Source organism: Homo sapiens, chromosome 22 (genome assembly GCF_000001405.40).
Source record: "Homo sapiens chromosome 22, GRCh38.p14 Primary Assembly".
Classification (NCBI taxonomy): Eukaryota; Metazoa; Chordata; class Mammalia; order Primates; family Hominidae; genus Homo; species Homo sapiens.
Genome location: NC_000022.11, coordinates 20,739,452 through 20,756,934, shown reverse-complemented (window position 1 = coordinate 20,756,934; position 17,483 = coordinate 20,739,452). Strand labels below are relative to the sequence as shown.

The window sequence follows — 17,483 nt, the reverse complement described above, 5'->3', positions numbered from 1 at the left end:
CCTTAGGGCCGGGTGTGGTAGCTCACACCTGTAATCTCAGCACTTTGGGAGCCGAGGTGGGCAGATCACTTGAGGTCAGGAGTTTGAGACCAGCCTGGCCAACATGATGAAACCCATCTCTACTAAAAATACAAAAATTAGCTGGGTGTGATGGCAGGTGACTGTAATCCCAGCTACTTGGGAAGCTGAGGCAGGAGAATCACTTGAACCTGGGAGGCAGAGGTTGGAGTGAGCCAAGATCACACCACTGCGCTCCAGCCTGGGCAACAGAGCAAGACTACGTCTCAAAAAAAAAATTTTTTTTAATCTCCTTAGATGCTACTACATGACATTGATTGGCATCTGATGTCTATCTGATTATCAGGAATTTACAGTTTCAGTTTCCAAAGAACTATATGAAAAAACTATTATACTAGGCCAGGTGTGGTGGCTCACGCCTGTAATCCCAGCACTTTGGGAGGCCAAGGCGGGTGGATCATTTGAGATCAGGAGTTTGAGACCAGCCTGACCAACACGGAGAAACCCCATCTCTACTGAAAATACAAAATTAGCCCTGCATGGTGGCGCATGCCTGTAATCCCACCTACTCGGGAGGCTGAGACAGGAGAATTGCTTGAATCTGGGAATGCAACCCGTCGGAGGTTGCAGTGAGCTGAGATCGCACCACTGCGCTCCAGCCTGGGCGATGAGCGAAACTCTGTCTCAAAAAATTAAAAAAAAAAAAAAAAGCTATTATACTAAACACATGGCCCAAAATAAGATTTCACCCACCCAACCCAGCCTCTTAAGAAAGCAGCCTCTCACTACCCTTGAGCATCTGTCCAGGTCACACTGATAACTTTTCAAATTGCTGCGGTCCCACTTACCCTTATAACAGATAGCTATGAAAGGCCTCTTTATGTCTCAGGCTTCATGCTGGGTGTGAGGTGCCAAGCTGATAGCACCTGCCTTGTCTCTCTGCCTGGAGGCAGAGGGCAGACCCAGCATGTAGTCATGCAAATTAAAAACACTGGATAGAGAAACAGCATTATGGAGTGTGAATTGGCATTTTATTACAGTTTCTTCATCTGCACTGTGATGATCACTGTGTTCTGTTGCTTTTTTTCTTTTTCTTTTCTTTTTTTTTTTTTTATGTGACAGTGTGTCGCTCTGTCACCCAGCCTAGAGTGCAGTGGCACAATCTCAGCTCCCTGCAACCTCTACCTCCCAGGCTCAAGTGATTCTCATGCCCCAGCCTCCCAAGTAGCTGGAATTAACAGGTGTGCACCACCGTGCCCAGCTAATTTTTGTATTTTTAGTAGAGACGGGGTTTCACCATGTTGGCCAGGCTGGTCTCAAACTCCTGACCTCAAGTGATCCACCCGCCTCAGCCTCCCAAAATGCTGGGATTACAGGCATGAGCCACTGTGCCCAGCCCATTCTGTTGCCTTTTACAGCCTACTTGGCACCTCTGTAACAATGAGCATATCCGGTGCTCAGATCTTGGTTTCTAAATAGTATTCTCCAATAAAAGGAACCAGGGCTCCATGGAGAAATGGTTGATTCTAGGGAGGCCTGTACAGGATGAGCCTGGGGCACCTTGTTACACCAGAAAGTAAGGACACGCCAAGAAAGAAGAAGAAAAGACAAGACATGGGGCCTGTCCGAATGACACAGGAGCCAACCTGAAAGAGCTCCGAGTGGCCAAAGCTGGAATGATTTGAATAGAATAAATGGTATTGGATTATAACCCAACGAATAAACATCCACGGTTCTGTAATGATTAGACTACCGAATAAATAAAAAATGGGGAAAAAGGCTGAACCTTCCTTACAGAATTCCAGTTACTATTAATAAAAATAGAAGAGGCTGGGCACGGTGGCTCATGCCTGTAATCCTAGCATTTTGGGAGGCCAAGGCAGGAGGATTGCTTGAGCCCAGGAGTTCAAGACCAGCCTAGGCAACAAAGCGATACCCTGTCCCTAAAAAATAAATTTTTGTTTTGTTTGAGATGGAGTCTCGCTCTGTCACCCAGGCTGGAGTGCAGTGGCATGATCTCAGCTCACTGCAACCTCTGTCTCCTGGGGTCAAGCGATTCTCCTGCCTCAGCCTCCCAAGTAGCTGGGATTACAGTGGCACGCTACCATGCCTGGCTAATTTTTGTATTTTTAGTAAAGATGGGGTTTCACCATGTTGGCCAGGCTGGTCTCGAACTCCTGACCTCGTGATCCACCCACCTCGGCCTCTCAAAGTGCTGGGATTATGGGCGTGAGCCACCATGCCTGGCCAACATTTTTTAAAAAGTAGAAAGAATTGAGGGAAATAGAAAATTCCTATGACAACCACAGTAACTACTGCAGGCAGAATTCACTCGTGGATGCCAAAGTGAAGGGGCAAAATCTTAAAAGACATGATCTCTGCATAACTTCAAAGTATCTTCCCCAAAATATCAATCGCTGTGGTGGCTGTAATTCTCATTCACAAATTTCCTTCAGGAGGTAGCATTTAATTCCTTGGCTCTGAGTGTGGGCTGTCCTTAGTGACTTGCTTCTAAAGAATAGAGAAAGGGACTGGGCATAGTGGCTCACGCCTGTAATCCTAGCACTTTAGGAGGCCGAGGCAGAAGGATTGCTTGACCCAGGAGTTCAAGACCAGCCTGGGCTACATAGTGAGACTCCCAGTCTCTACAAAAAATAATCAATTAGCTGAGCATGGTGTTGTACATCTGTAATCCCAGCCACCAGGGAGGCTGAGGTGGGAGGATCCCTTGAGCCTGGGAGATCAAGGTTGCAGCTGAGCTATGATCTCACCATTGCACTCCAGACTGGGCAACAAAGTGAGACCCTGTCTCAAAAAAAATAGAAAAAGGGAAAAACGGTAACTCAAACCAAGGGATCAAGGTTAGCTTCACCAGTAATAAGAGATACTGTTATCACATACCACTTACGTGATGCAGAAAGAGCACATCCAGGCCGGACACGGTGGCTCACGCCTGTAATCCCAGCACTTTGGGAGGCCGAGGCGGGCGGATCACGATGTCAGGAGATCAAGACCATCCTGGCCAACGTGGTGAAACCCTGTCTCTACTAAAAATACAAAAAATTAGCCGGGCGTGGTGGTGGGCACCTGTAGTCTCAGCTGCTCAGGAGGCTGAGGCAGGAGAATGGCGTGAACCCAGGAGGCGGAGGTTGCAGTGAGCCAAGATCGCGCCACCACACTCCAGCCTGGGCAACAGAACGAGATTCAATCTCAAAAAAAAGAGAAAGAAAAAAGAAAGGGCACATCCACTCTATGGAGTTCTCCCTCAAATCCTGTAACCCTAGTCTTATCATGGACAAGCATCAGACAAACCTAAATTAGGGGACATTCAACAAAATAACTGTTCTTCAAAAGTGTCAAAGTCACAAAAGACATTGACAGACTGAGGAGTCACCACATATTGGACAGGAGTAGGAGACACAGATTAAATGCCACCTGGTGTCCTGGGTTGGATGCTGGAACAGAAGCGGGGCATGTGTGGGAGACCTGGGAAATCCAGACGAAGTCTGAAGTTTAGGTAATAGGATTATATCAATATCTGACTCAGTTTTGACACATCAGCCTGGTTACTGCAGATGTTAAAATCCAGGGAAGCTAGGTGAAGGGTATATGGGAGCTCTGTGCTGTCTTTGCCACTCTCTGTAAGTCTAAAATCATTTCAAAAGAAAATGATTGAAAGTTGCTAGGATTCTCTCTCTGTTGCTGCACCTTATCCATGGAAACCTTCTCGTTTCAGGGATGATGCAGTGTGTGATTGCAGTCGCGGACAAAGTATTCGATGCCTTCCTGAACATGATGGCGGATAAAGTAAGCCTCTCCAGCATGAATGCGTGTCTGTCTGCTGGAGGCATCTGGGGCACTGCGGTACCTGTTTCTTTTGCATCTCTAGGCCAAGACCAAGGAGAACGAGGAGGAGCTGGAGCGGCACGCTCAGTTCCTGTTGGTGAACTTCAACCACATCCACAAGAGGATAAGGAGGGTGGCAGACAAGTATCTATCTGGTCTGGTGGATAAGTAAGCTCATTTTCCTGCTAATGTTTTGTGTGTATGTATATAAACTTCTGTGATTTCAAATGCTGGGAAAAATCATCCTTATATTATTAATCTAGGAAAAAATGGAGTCAGAATGAAAACTCCTAAGGGTGATGCAGCCTCCCTCCAATGTCTGTGAGTTTCCTGCAGAGTCTGAATTTTGGTGCAGAAACTTCTGTTCATTCTGAGCTATCGATGTTACTTACAGCACATTTGCTGGGTGCCACATCCCTGTGTCTCTCAGTCCCACCCACTCTGGCATGACCTGGTGCACCATCTTCTAGCCCAGGGCCCAGCCAGAGGTCCCCTGGTAGGATCAGTATCTTTGGGCTTCTCAGGAACAAAAGCCCACACAGACCCTTCTGTGCTGTATACTCTTTGTTCTGGGAGCCAAAACAGACCCTGTTGGGACATGTCCCCACACTGATGAGAACTCTCACAGGTGGGCTGGACCAGCTTCTCCAAGGTGAGAAGGCCAGAGGCAGCAAAACACCCACATGGAGGCTGCCTGCAGCTCCCCAGAGGTATCCAGTGGTTCTGGAGCCTGTTGCAGATACTGTGTGCCTGGTCCAGGCAGCAGCGCCACCACAGGTGGTCAGGAGCCAGCCAGGGGTCACGAGAACGAGTCCAGCACACACGTGGCGTGTGTCTGAGCTGGGCTTCCTGAGCAGTGGGCCACTGGTGGGTCACAGCTGTGCAGAGACACCTCTCCTTCAGCCCTGGGGCCATCGGAGCCCATGGCCTGTCTTACCCCAGGGTGTCAGGTAGATACTGTTGTTTTCTCCATTATGTGAGAAATAATGGAGAACCCTGGTCAGAAACTAAGAGGATTGCTTTGGAAAGTGAGGGGTGTCCTGGCCAGTGCATAACCAAGGCAGTTGGTGTCAGGTTTGTCTGGCCCTAAGAAGTGGGGCTGGCAGGGGCCTGGGGAGCCTTTCTGACCAGGCGTTGCTCACCTTACTGCAATGAGCCTGAGGAGGCCAGGCATCCTGCTGCAAGGGCCTCCCGACCTCCTCCTTCAGCTGGCCTGAAGCAGATATGGGCTCGGGCTGGCAGCTGAGGGGGCTCCTAGAAGCAGACCTTCCTTGGAGGTTTGGCTCTTGGTCCTGAGAGCTGGCTCTTGGTGCAGGTTTCCCCACTTGCTCTGGAGCGGGACTGTGCTGAAGACCATGCTGGACATCCTGCAGACCCTGTCACTGTCACTGAGCGCTGTGAGTGTCCCCAGGAGACCTAGGGCCCAAACACCACCCGCTCTACCACCACCCCGCCGGCCCTGTCCGCCCTGTGTTGTGGCATGCTTCTCTGACAATAAGCCTGAACATAATTAATGCTACAGGTGTCGAGTTGGGGGTGAGGGGGCCCAAATCCACCTGGTGTTTTGCAATAAGTTGCATCAAGTATGGAGGCCTGTCACAGACAGACAGGTGGTGGGTAGGGGTGGCCCATGTGGTTGCTAGTGGCAACTTGGGGAAGGCAGTTTGGAAGAGGGAGTCTTGCTGTGCTTGCAGGATATTCACAAGGATCAGCCTTACTATGACATCCCCGACGCCCCCTACCGGATCACGGTTCCTGACACGTACGAAGCCCGTGAGGTAGGCCCGACACGATCCCCTGCACTAAGGGCCATCTTTACCACAATTCCCTGAGTATTTCCACGAGATGGTCAACCTGCATGAGCTCACCCAGTCCCCAGCAATTTGAGGTGTGGGTGGTGCTGGCCCCATCCCCCAGTGAGGAGACCAAGCCATTGCCAGGCTCCACCGAGTGCAAGGGGAGCTGGCTGCCCCCAGGTCGCTCTGTCTTCCAAGCCCAGCTCCCCCACCTCAGCCATGTTGACTCAGCTGTGTTCTCGGTTTAGCTGCCAAAGAGGTCTTCAGCTACCAGCCAGTTTATAGCCTCTCGAGTCTGCGTCGCACAAGCATGATTTTCAGGTGGACTTCACTTCTCTGAGGTGCACTGACATTTTGTTATTGTGGTAATAGGGGATCATGCCTTTGACTTGTGCTATCCAATGGGGAAACTGGCAGAATAAATCACTCCAAAAGAGGAGGATGTACTGGGTCTCTCCTCTCCCCAACTCGGTCTCAGAGCCCTCACTGTGGCAAGACTGCAACTCAGCTCACAGCTCCTTCAGCCTGGGCTGAGTCATGTCCTACCTCTGGACCTCTGCCAGACCAGCTGTCAATGGGGAGTTTCCCACAGAGTGGTGTGGCACCGAAGAGGATTTTGCCACGCAGAGCCTGCCCTTCCATCCAGTCCCAGACCCAGGACACAAGTTGCACAGTGTCCCTGTGACATGTTATTCTTGTAGATTCTGCCACAAACCTTGTGCAGGAATTACATACAGATCATAGTGTGTGTGGGCTTCCTGGCCCCAGGGGCCTTGAGGTTCAAACTTAGTGGCTGTGCTAGTCTCTTGGGCTTCTGTAGCAAAAGACAATAGACTGGGCAGCTTGAAAGGTCTTGACAGACATTGATTGTCTTACAGTTCTGAGGGCCGAAGTGTAAAATCAAAGTGTTGGCAGAGCTGGTTTCTGTGGAGACCTCTCTCCTTGGCTTGTGAATGGCAGCCTTCTCCCTGTGTCTTTACGTGTTCTTCCCTCTGTGCACACCCTCCTCCCTGCCCCAGTATTTCTGTGTGTCCAGATTTCCTCTGCACACACGTAAGGAAGGATACTGGCCAGATTGGATCAGGACCTACCCTATCAGCCTTTTAATTGAATCACCTCTTTAAAGCCCTATCTCCAAATGAGTTCCACTCTGAGGTACTGGTACCAGTTAAGGCGCAGCATAGGGATTTGGGGAGACATAGTTCAGCCCATGACAGTCACTACGGCAGCTCAGATGAACTGACCTCGGGTTGTTGAGAAGCAGCTTCACCCTCTTCCAGAGCATTGTGAAGGACTTCGCTGCACGCTGTGGGATGATCCTCCAGGAGGCCATGAAGTGGGCACCTACCGTCACCAAGTCCCACCTGCAGGTACTTGAAACCATCAAAAGGCAATTGCCATAAGCTCCTTCAAACTCCCAAAAAAGCTTTACAGAGACATGAAGAACTCAAAATCCAAATAGCACTAGTGTGAATGGAGACTGGAAGCATCAGTCTAGGGCCTGAGAATAATAGATGCCTCAGAGGCTGCTCTGTGTGTTAGGAGCGCCTGTGGGGCCAGTGCTGGCCAGGGCACAAGGAGGGCATCTGACGGCTCACACCAGGTGAGGTGCCAGGTCTGTGGCAAGACTTGGGGGCTGCTCACGAGAGGAAGGGCTTGTGTGGTGGATGTGGGAGGCTGCCAGATGGCAGCATCTCTAAGTGCCAAGTGCATTGCTGGCACCTGTGCCCAAAGGCAGGGGCCTGACCAAGGCTGGTGGAGCAGAGGCAGAGTTGGGGACTTGTGTCCCATTAAAGCTCCACATAAGCTGCACATGTAGGTGCATGGGAGTCTTTCAGACAAAAACACTGGTTTGGAAACTCAGATGGCCACGAAGTAAACCATGTAATGCCACAGGGTGTGAGAGGAAAGAATTGCCTTAAAAGGAATCAAAGATGAGAAAAATACCTCTGGAAGGAATCTGTGTTAGCAGAGAGTGGGTGTGCTGAGAGGAACTCTTGTGAGGTTTACCCTGGCAGCACTTTAAAGATGAAACAGGCTCAAAAGTGTTTCTGGTTGTGGAGTCCAGGAAGGATAGAGCAGCCAGCTCCAAGAGCCCTGAGAGCTGTGTGGAAACGCAGTGGCAAGAAACTATTTCCCTTTGTTCATTTACAGCAAAAGGGCCTCAGGTCCCAAGGCTGTCTGTCGTCTGAAGAGGGGAGGCCCCCTCTAATGCCTAGAAAGTTTAAGTGGACAAAAAAAGCAGCTGATAGAGCTTTTTACTTTCTCACGCAGGTCTGGCCTAAGAAGGAAATGGAAAATGAAAAGGCTTGAAGCGGTCTTGATTTTTCCACCAGGTGTCCCCTTGGCGTGCCCCAGGCCTGCCCTTTCACTTCCCCTGCAGTGTGCTTATTCCCCACCCTCCGTGCCCAGCCTCAGCCTTCCCCGAATCTGCCCTCTCCTCCACCCACCAGAGTAGTCTGGTTTTAATAGGGTATCTGGTCAGTGTACTTCCCTTTTAAACTTGATTATTAGTCACTCTTCATCGTCATAGTGTCCAAGGATGGGTTTCTGGAGCTCCAGGAGTCCCCCAAAACCATTGAGACAATTCTGCATGTATATACTCCTGTACATTTCTTCTTAAGGGAATTAGTTGGTTCACGCCTGTAAACAGGGCCTGCATCTGTTCCAGGCTTGCCCCCACCCTCGAGACCCTTGTCCTTGGTACTCCTGCAGGCTGAGCCCCCTGTGGTCCCCAGAGCAGGAGGCCTCCCTCACACCCCTGGGCTCTGCCAGGTATCCCATTGCCCAGCACCCTTCTCCCACTGGGTGGCCAGGTGGACACAGGTGTTGTTCTTCGTTCCTGCTGTCCAGTTCACCCACACCAGGCTGCTGGTATGCTGCAGTAGAGAACCGAGGCTCCACACCACACAGCCTGCCTGTTGACCGCAAGGCCAAGGCTTTGTAGCTTATTTGCCTGGTGGCTACCACAGCAGATGCTCAGCAAGGATGTGCTGAAAGAATAAATGGCCCTCTCCCATTGACGGTGCAACACCGCAGTGACTGCATGACAGCCGCTCGGGGAATTGGCCTTGTCCTCAGTCAAATGAGCAGTAGCTGGTCATAGAGGGGCTTTGACTTACTGACAGTCCCACAGCTAGTTAGGGAGGGGCAGACCCAGGACAGAAACCCAGTGTTTGGTCCATTTGCCCACACCTTAATTTATAAAGTTTTATTTTCCCCTTTAAATGAAATAGCAAGGCCAGGCACAGTGGCTCATGCCTGTAATCCTGACATTTTGGGATGCTGAGGCGGGAGGATCACTTGAGCCCAGGAATTCAAGCCAACCTGAGCAATATAGTGAGACACCATCTCTACAAAAAAAATTGCAAAATTAGCCAGGCATAGTGGCGTGCCCCTATAGTCCCAGCTACTTGGGAAGCTGAGGCGGGAGGATGGCTTGAGTCTAAGAGGTCGAGGCTGCAATGAGCCATGATCGTGCCACCACACTCCAGCCTGGGTGACAGAGCGAGACCCTGCCTCTAAAAAAATCAGATAAATAACTGAAACCCCATGTGTTTTTCCTATTTCAGGAATATCTGAACAAACATCAGAACTGGGTATCGGGACTGTCCCAGCACACGGGGCTGGCCATGGCCACTGAGAGCATCCTTCACTTTGCTGGCTACAACAAGCAGAACACAACTCTTGGGGTATGTGCGAGCCTTCTGAAGAGCAGTGACCCCTTAGACCATAGGAGCCACAGTGCAGGGGAAGGCTTAGAGCTCGGCTGTCGCTTTTCATGACGCACATGAGTACATGCAGGGTGCTGTGGATGTCTGTTGACAATGGTAGTGGTGCAAGCCGCACCTTGGCCCAAAGAAGAGGTGGCCATTGAAATGAGTGTTTCCTTATTGTGCTTTTTTTTTTTTAAATTTATGGATTTATGGGGATCAGTGCTTGATATGTCAGTGATCAGATTTTGATTTGAATGTCCCCATCTGAGAGGATGGAAACAGAGCTCCGCCTGACACGGGCAGCGCGATGCCACAGTTGCACTTATCTGGAGCGTATACTGGACTCCTGAACAGTTCTGTTTTCTGCAGGTGCTGAACCGCACATGAATGCCTTCAGCTTCTTGTTCTGCTAGAGATTAATCTAGAGGACAGAGGGTTCACACAGCAATACTTTCTGAGTTAAATTAGAGCTAAGAGTTAAAAAGGATTAAAGCAGGCAGTTCCACCTGGCCATGTGACTGGGGCTGGTCAGAGATTTTGTTGGTTAATGTGAATCTAGAGCCTGGCCATGTGTGCTTCCCAACTCTCTCCAAATGGAGCATGGGATGGGATATGTGGAGGTGCAGAGGCTGTGTACCCAGGAGGAAGGGTGACAGGCCTCCCTTGGGATACCGGCGGGAGAGAGGGGCCTGAGTGCCCTCTGGCTTTTGTGGGGCCTGAGGATGTGCCAGAGAATGCTGGTGTCTTCTCGCCTCATTTTGCTATCAGGGCACTCTCCTCGAGGTCACTGCACTATCTCTAAAGACACCAGTCTAGCAGACATGGTTGAGCTGGGTCCAGCCTGCACCTGCAGGGCCACCCGCCCTGGGCCTCCTACTCTGACGGGGCACCAGGTATCAGTGCCCTGACCTGGACGTCTCTGCCACTGGGTGGCCACAGAGGCCAGAGGCGGAACTCATAGACTGTAAGTGTTTATGATAGTCATAAGCCTTTTCCTTTTTGGGGGTGGTAGGAGCAAAGCTTTATTACATAAAATAGAATATGTGTTCTCATTTGTAAGCCTTTTCTAGACTCTAGCCAGCTGACTTGTGAAAGATCTGTTTTGCCTAAAATATTTTGTTCTTTTTCCCCAGAAAATTTGATGTAAGTTAGGTTTTCTCTAAGTTATTTTTTTTAATTTTTAAAAATTAATTCTGGGGCCAGGCACGGTGGCTCATGCCTGTAATCCCAGCACTTTGGGAGGCCAAGGCGGGCGGATCACGAGGTCAGTGGATCGAGACCATCCTGGCCAACACGGTGAAACCCCGTCTCTACTAAAAATACAAAAAATTAGCCGGGCATGGTGGCAGGCGCCTGTAGTCCCAGCTACTTGGGAGGCTGAGGCAGGAGAATGGTGTGAACCCGGGAGGCGGAGCTTGCAGTGAGCCGAGATCCCGCCACTGCACTCCAGCCTGGGCAACAGAGCAAGACTCCATCTCAAAAAAAAAAAAAAAAAAATTCTTTTTTTTTTTTTTTTTTTTGATGAAACCCCATCTCTAGTAAAAATACAAAAATTAGCCAGGCGTGGTGACATGCACCTGTAATCCCAGCTACTCGGGAGGCTGAGGCAGGAGAATCACTTGAACCAGGGAGGTGGAGGCTGCAGTGAGCCGAGATCGCATTGGGCAGTGAGGAGTGATGGTGGAAGGGAGGGAGCCGGCCTGCACTGCCCACCAGGTGCTGTTTGCCATGCCAGGACATTGTGTGTGTCATTACGTTGAACGTGTAACAACATTGTGAGAGGGTTATGCCCACTTTACAGATGAGCACATTGAGGCTCAGAGACATTGACTTCCCAAGGTCTCACAGCTGATTAGTATCAGAGCCAAGCTCTAACTCAGTCCTGCTTGGTGCCAAAGACCGCATTGTTTCCAGAAAATGTAAAGCAGTTTCACGTAATTTATTTTTTTAAATAAACCAGTTTAATAATTTCATGAGAGAAATCATGTATTTTTGTTCTTGTTTATATTTTGATGTTCCCCAACATCTGTATTTTCTTCTCCTGGTCCTCTTTCTCCACACCATGTCCCCTCAAAAAAAAATCCCTCTAAACTCAAAACAGTTGAGAAGCTCACTTTCCCCATTAGTACTGATGCTAAAGGGAAATGCGAAAGGAGGTCCTTTTCAATGCATGCTGTACTCTGCAGTGACCGTGGATGAACAGGAACTGAAAGGTGTGGCACAGCAGCCAGCCTGGGTTAGGAAGCCAGGTCACTGAGGCCCTGGGGCTGGGAGGCTGAGGCTGAAGCAGAGAGAGTGGCTGGAGGGGTGGAGTGGGTGGGCGGTAGTTTTCAAATATTTTTCTCCCATTCTGTGGGTTGCCTTTGTATTCAAGGTGTACCCTTTTCTGTCTCTTCCCATTAGACTGAAGAGCAGCCAGCAGATGTTTAAGAGCCTGCTGGCCTTGGCTCTCCCCTTCAGCCCCTTTACGGTCTGTAAGTGACATTTATAAGCTGCACACGCAACTCTCAAGGAGACGGCTGTGAATGCTTTCATGGCGTTTCCATCACAGGTGACATTGCTCTCACAATCTAGTGATTCTTTTTCTTGCAAAGGCCTATTTACCAGTAGCAGAAACTGCCTTCCAGAGACTTTTTTTTTTAATTTCTTATGGAACATATCAAACTGCTGGGTATTCTAAAATATTTTGCTTTATTAACTTGCCAGCAGTGAAGATTTTTATTAATAGTAACCCCCAGACCCGAGTGTGACTGCTTCATTGGGTTTAGGCTTAGCCATGGTAAACACGAGGAAAGGATAGTGCTGCCATAGTCTACAATAATGGTTATCTGTCTGTAGGCAACTCAGCTGAGCGAGCGCCCGGCCTGTGTGAAGAAAGACTACTCCAACTTCATGGCATCCCTGAATCTGCGCAACCGCTACGCGGGCGAGGTGCTTCTCTTGTCCTTGCGCCCTAGGGCCTTTAACGTGTCCTCTTGTTTTGAGGCCTGTTGGCCGCTTCCTAGTGGAAAATGAACAAAGCGTCCCGGTGATGTGGAATTAACATATTTTAGGAGGATTTAAAGAGCACATTTTAGGAGGATTCTTGGCACATTCCAGAGTGTTAATGACCAGTTACTTGTTTTTTCCACAAGAGGGTAACTCTGTGTACACTTTGGCTACACTGAATGAAGGTTTTTAATTTTTTTGGCTTTTTTTTACAGCAGTAACAAACACTTACATGCCATAGGCTCTTGGGCACTCGGTAAGATGTATGTATTATTATTCCAGTTTTATAGATAAACGGAGGTTCCCAAGATTAAGTAACTTGCCAAAGTCGCACAAGTGGAGTGGGGTCTGGAACCACATCTTCCAACTCCACATCGTGGGCTTTCACCCACCACACCACAGTTTATTCCAGCCTCACCAGTGCCATCACATCTGTGGGCCTCCATTTCCTGCTCCATAAACTCAGAAGCTAATCTATACCATTTCTTTTTGTTTGTTTGTTTTTGTTTTTGTTTTTGAGACAGAGTCTCGTTCTGTTGCCCAGGCTGGAGTGCAGTGGCACAATCTTGGCTCACTGCAAGCTCTGCCTCCTGGGTTCACGCCATTCTCCTGCCTCAGCCTCCCGAGTAGCTGGGACTACAGGCACCCACCACCACGCCCGGCTAATTTTTTGTATTTTTAGTGGAGACGGGGTTTCACTGTGTTAGCCAGGACGGTCTTGATCTCCTGACCTCATGATCTGCCCGCCTCGGCCTCCCAAACTGCTGGGATTACAGGCGTGAGCCACCGCGCCCAGCCTAGTCTATGCCATTTCTAAGCTCCCTGGTGACTCTGAAAGTCTATCAGTGGCCTGGTCTGAGTGGGAGTTCACTCCTTCTTAGCACTCTGTCACTTGTATGTTCTTCTCTCTGGAAAAAAAAGTTATATTTGTCTTTAAAAATAGATAGGTTGGCCAAGCACAGTGGCTCACGCCAGTAATCCCAGCACTTTGGGAGGCTGAGACAGGAGGATCACCTGAGCCCAGGAGTTCGAGGATGCAGTGAACTATGATCGCACCACTGCACTCCAGCCTGGGCAACAGAGCAAGACTCTGTCTCAAAGAAAAAATTATTAATAATAGTAAGGAGGGCTGGGTGTGGCCGCTCACGCCTGTAATCCCAGCACTTAGGGAGGCCAAGGTGGGCGGATTATTTGAGGTCAGGAGTTCAAGACCAGCCTGGCCAACATGGTGAAACCCTGTCTCTACTAAAATAGAAAAATTAGCCAGGCGTGGTGGCGCATGCCTGTAATCCAGCTACTTGGGAGGCTGAGGTGGGAGGATCACTTGAACCCAGGAGGCGGAGGTTGCACTGAGTCGAGATCACGCCACTGCACTCCAACCTGAGCATCAGAGCGAGACTCCCTCTCTCAAAAAATAATAATGAGGCTGATATTGTTGTTTGAGTCATTAATTGAGTTTGAGGAAATGTATTTATCCAGCTCACATTCATGCAGTCCCACCATGGGTCAGACCCCGGGCTCACTGCTGGGTACAATGATGAGGGACAAGGTTCCCACCCTTGGGGAACATCTGCAGTGGTGGCACTGCCAACATGCATTTCTAGAGGAGCTGTTCTTTAAAAAAAAAAAAAGCTGTGATCAGTGGTAGCATCATTGAAATGAGCCTGTCTCTCTGCATGCATGAGCTCCACTTTGGGGCAGCGAGGCACCCACCAGTGCCACCACAAGTGTGGTCTGGTGGCTTCCAGAACCTTACCCACATTGCCTGGATTATATGCTTAGTTGCTGATGAGAATGTTTTTGCAGGTGTATGGAATGATTCGGTTCTCAGGCACCACAGGCCAGATGTCTGACCTGAACAAAATGATGGTCCAGGATCTACATTCAGCTTTAGACCGCAGTCATCCTCAGCACTACACGCAGGCCATGTTCAAGCTGACCGCAATGCTCATTAGCAGTAAAGGTAACTCACTGAAGCACTGTGGAATTCTGGGCTCGTTTCTAAATGAATGCTGGCCTTGATGACCCATAGCCAGCTGGAGTACTGGCCGGAGAAAGAGCAGGAGCTCCCCCAGTAGAGGAGTATCTCTCATGAGTGGAAAGTCAATAAAAGGCCATCACTGGCCCCAGCTGGTCAACTCTTGTTGGCCCAGGGAAGCTGTTTTGGGGTTCAGCTGTTGTTGGAGGCCTCTGACTGACGTGTGTTTGGTTCCAGATTGTGACCCGCAGCTCCTTCATCATCTGTGCTGGGGTCCCCTCCGGATGTTCAATGAGCATGGCATGGAGACGGCCCTGGCCTGCTGGGAGTGGCTGCTGGCTGGCAAGGATGGAGTGGAAGTGCCGGTAGGACCCTGACCTCGGGTTGGCAGTGAGGATGGGATGGGATAACAGACGGGAAGAGCCTTCCCTGGTGCCGCCACCACCAAGCATGGAGACACTGGGCAAGCCCCTCACCTTCTCAAGCCTCAGTCTCCTTACAGATTCTATTATTATACCTGACAGTCACAGAAAATAGAATATATGTTAACAGCATCCCACTGGTGCCTAGAAGCCGTTATCTCCCAAAACCTCGGTAGGGGGAGCCATTTCTCTACTGAAATTGGAAATCCAGCTTTTTGAACACCTGTTAACTTTGAATTTGATTGGGAGCAGTTGTGTTTGTCCACGGGAATGTTTTTCTTGACCTAATCTTGGGATCAGCCCCCTTTCCCTGCATCCGTATTTCTGGAGTTGCTACTGCAGGGGGTGCCCACAAGGAAGTTTATACTCACGTTTCAGCTGATTAGATAAACGCTTAAGAACAATTTTATTTTTCAAAGATTCTGTTAACTGTCAGGGTAGCAGGGAATTTGACATGTTTTCTTTCTGTATTTCTTAGGATTAGTTGAAATGAGTGGTCAAAAAGGGGGATTTTGATTTTCTTCTTCCCTCAGGAAAATTGGAATATTTCCAAAAATGTAATTAAAATGTTCCGGGCTGGTGGTGGTGGCAGTGATGATAATATCTCACATTTGCCTGCTATTTTATAACCTCGTGGGGTTTGTATCAATCACACCATTGAGCGCTGTTAGGAAACATTTTGGTCCAGTGGGCGCCTGGGGGAGGTTGTCTAGTCAGGGGGACACCTGTGAAGTCAGGGGAGTGCTGGGTTCTCAGCCTGACCAGCCTGCTCCCATCAAAGATATGCAGAAGGGCCTGTGGAAGTCACGCTTCAGCCTGCAGGGCTCTGATTCCTGGGCGGGGCTCCTCACCTGCATGGTGGACATCATTACAAGAGCACCTGCATCCTAGTGAGCTGTCAGTAAATGACAACTGGAGTGGCCACATCAGTTATAGTTCTTGCCAGGGAGAGGATTCTGCAGAGACAGCTGTATACCATTGCCACTGTGGATACCCACTGCCATTATGACACCCAATTTCTCCCTCTAATTCCTTGTGTCCTGTTTTCATATTTTACTACTATATGCATTAGACCTTATAATGTTGTTTCTGTTCAAAAAAATCAAAAGTCTTTCAAAGAAATTAAGACAAGGCTTTGTTACAGCATTATAATTTATCCAAATGTTTTTCATCACTCACACTTTTACAGTCTTCCTGTGATCTCCTCTGCCAAGTAATTTTCTTTAACAGTTCCAGTAATGCAGGTCTGCTGGAAATAAATTCTCTCATCTTAGTTCACCTTCATCTTTGATGCATATGGATTATTTTTTCTAGGCCCAGGATTCTAGGTTGATAGTTTTTTGTTTTATTGTTTTTAGCATTTCAGATATTATCTTCTATTGTCTAGTAGCTTGCATTGTTTCTGGAGAGAAGTCAACAGTCTTTTTGTTTCTCAGTACAGCCGGCCCTCCATATCCATGGGTTCCACATCCTGGAACCAGTTCTCCTGAGGATACCAAGGATGACTGTATATGTTATTGTTTTTCTTTTGACTACTTGTTGGATGTTTCTCCTTATCTTTCATTTTTAGTTGTTTGACTGTGTGTGAATTTCATTGTATTTATCCTGTTGGAATTCATTGAGCTTCTTAATTTCAGGGATTTAGGATTTTCATCAAACTTGGAAATCTTGAGGTCAGTATTTCTTTGTCATTTCTTTTTCTTTTTTTTTTTTACTTCCTAGGCTCTTAAGGTCAATATTTTTTTAATTTTTTTTTACTTCATTCTCTCTCTCTTCTCCTTTTTGGATTCCAGGTACACATATATTAGTGACTTGGTATTGTCCCATAGATCATCGACATTCTCTGTAGTCTTTTTCAGTTTTTCAGGGTTTTTCTCACTCTTTCATTTGGTTAATTTTTTTTTTAACCTGTATACCAGTTCACTGTTCTTTTCTTCTGCTTTATTCATTCTGCTGTAAAACCATCTTGTATATTTTTTATTTCAGATACAATTCTCAGGTCTAGAAAACAAAACAAAAAATAAATATTTAATTTAAAAATAAGAAAAAGAAACAATTCCAGATCTAGGATTTCTAGTTAATTCTTTTTTTTTTTTTTTTTTTTTTTTTGAGATGGGGTCTCACTCTGTTGCCCAGGCAGGAGTGCAGTGGCACAATCTTGGCTCACTGCAACCTCCGCCTCGTGGGTTCAAGTGATTCTCCCACCTCAGCCTCCCAAGTAAGTGGGATTACAGGCACCAGCCATCATGCCTGGCTAATTTTTGTGTTTTTGTACAGACAGGGTTTCACCATGTTGGCCAGGCTGGTCTTGGACTCCTGACCGCAGGTGATGCACCTGCCTCAGCCTCCCAAAGTGCTGGGATTACAGGCATGAGCCACCACGCCCAGCCATTTAATTCTTTTTTATAGTTTGCATTTTCTGCTGCTGAGATTCTCTTACCTTCATGCATTCTTTCCATTATTTCTTATAAATCTTTGAGCATATTTATTGTAATTATTTTTATATCGTTATCTGGTCTGTTCTTGTATTTGAGTCATCTTGGGTCAGTTTCTTTTTATCTTTTTTCTTCAATGTTTGAAAGTTTTTGTTTCTATACTGGACATTGTACATTTAAATAAAACTGACAGTTGAGGAGGACTGCTGTATATTTTCCCAGAGAGAAGGAGGTCTTTATTTTTTTTCTTTTGTTTTTTTTTTTTTCCTGAAGACAGTCTTGCT

General features: G+C 48.1%; 1 protein-coding gene across 9 annotated transcripts in view, besides 6 other annotated features; it reads left to right on the top strand.

The window, feature by feature from the left end:
* Nucleotides 1-17,483, top strand: part of PI4KA (phosphatidylinositol 4-kinase alpha) — a 151,121-nt gene that overhangs the window by 101,877 nt on the left and 31,761 nt on the right. For 8 of the 9 annotated variants that reach the window (NM_001362863.2, XM_005261635.2, NM_058004.4 and 5 more), the window contains 9 exons: nt 3,755-3,825; nt 3,908-4,032; nt 5,180-5,261; nt 5,559-5,642; nt 6,941-7,030; nt 9,233-9,352; nt 12,215-12,307; nt 14,171-14,327; nt 14,580-14,707. In NM_001362863.2, the coding sequence (NP_001349792.1) occupies nt 3,755-3,825; nt 3,908-4,032; nt 5,180-5,261; nt 5,559-5,642; nt 6,941-7,030; nt 9,233-9,352; nt 12,215-12,307; nt 14,171-14,327; nt 14,580-14,707 (950 nt within the window). The remainder of the gene's footprint in view (nt 1-3,754; nt 3,826-3,907; nt 4,033-5,179; nt 5,262-5,558; nt 5,643-6,940; nt 7,031-9,232; nt 9,353-12,214; nt 12,308-14,170; nt 14,328-14,579; nt 14,708-17,483) is intronic. The other variant, NM_001362862.2, reaches the window with a different exon arrangement.
* Nucleotides 4,671-5,468: an enhancer, noted in NCBI's record as "H3K27ac-H3K4me1 hESC enhancer chr22:21105755-21106552 (GRCh37/hg19 assembly coordinates)". NCBI's record gives its function as "activates a minimal SCP1, AML or CMV promoter by ChIP-STARR-seq in naive H9 embryonic stem cells {active_cell/tissue: H9 hESC(naive)}" and the evidence as "EXISTENCE:reporter gene assay evidence [ECO:0000049][PMID:30033119]".
* Nucleotides 6,490-6,609: an enhancer, noted in NCBI's record as "active region_18687". NCBI's record gives its function as "activates an Ori minimal core promoter by ATAC-STARR-seq in GM12878 lymphoblastoid cells {active_cell/tissue: GM12878}" and the evidence as "EXISTENCE:reporter gene assay evidence [ECO:0000049][PMID:35858748]".
* Nucleotides 7,702-8,061: an enhancer, noted in NCBI's record as "active region_18686". NCBI's record gives its function as "activates an Ori minimal core promoter by ATAC-STARR-seq in GM12878 lymphoblastoid cells {active_cell/tissue: GM12878}" and the evidence as "EXISTENCE:reporter gene assay evidence [ECO:0000049][PMID:35858748]".
* Nucleotides 8,132-8,311: an enhancer, noted in NCBI's record as "active region_18685". NCBI's record gives its function as "activates an Ori minimal core promoter by ATAC-STARR-seq in GM12878 lymphoblastoid cells {active_cell/tissue: GM12878}" and the evidence as "EXISTENCE:reporter gene assay evidence [ECO:0000049][PMID:35858748]".
* Nucleotides 8,322-8,371: an enhancer, noted in NCBI's record as "active region_18684". NCBI's record gives its function as "activates an Ori minimal core promoter by ATAC-STARR-seq in GM12878 lymphoblastoid cells {active_cell/tissue: GM12878}" and the evidence as "EXISTENCE:reporter gene assay evidence [ECO:0000049][PMID:35858748]".
* Nucleotides 11,583-11,632: a silencer, noted in NCBI's record as "silent region_13499". NCBI's record gives its function as "represses an Ori minimal core promoter by ATAC-STARR-seq in GM12878 lymphoblastoid cells {active_cell/tissue: GM12878}" and the evidence as "EXISTENCE:reporter gene assay evidence [ECO:0000049][PMID:35858748]".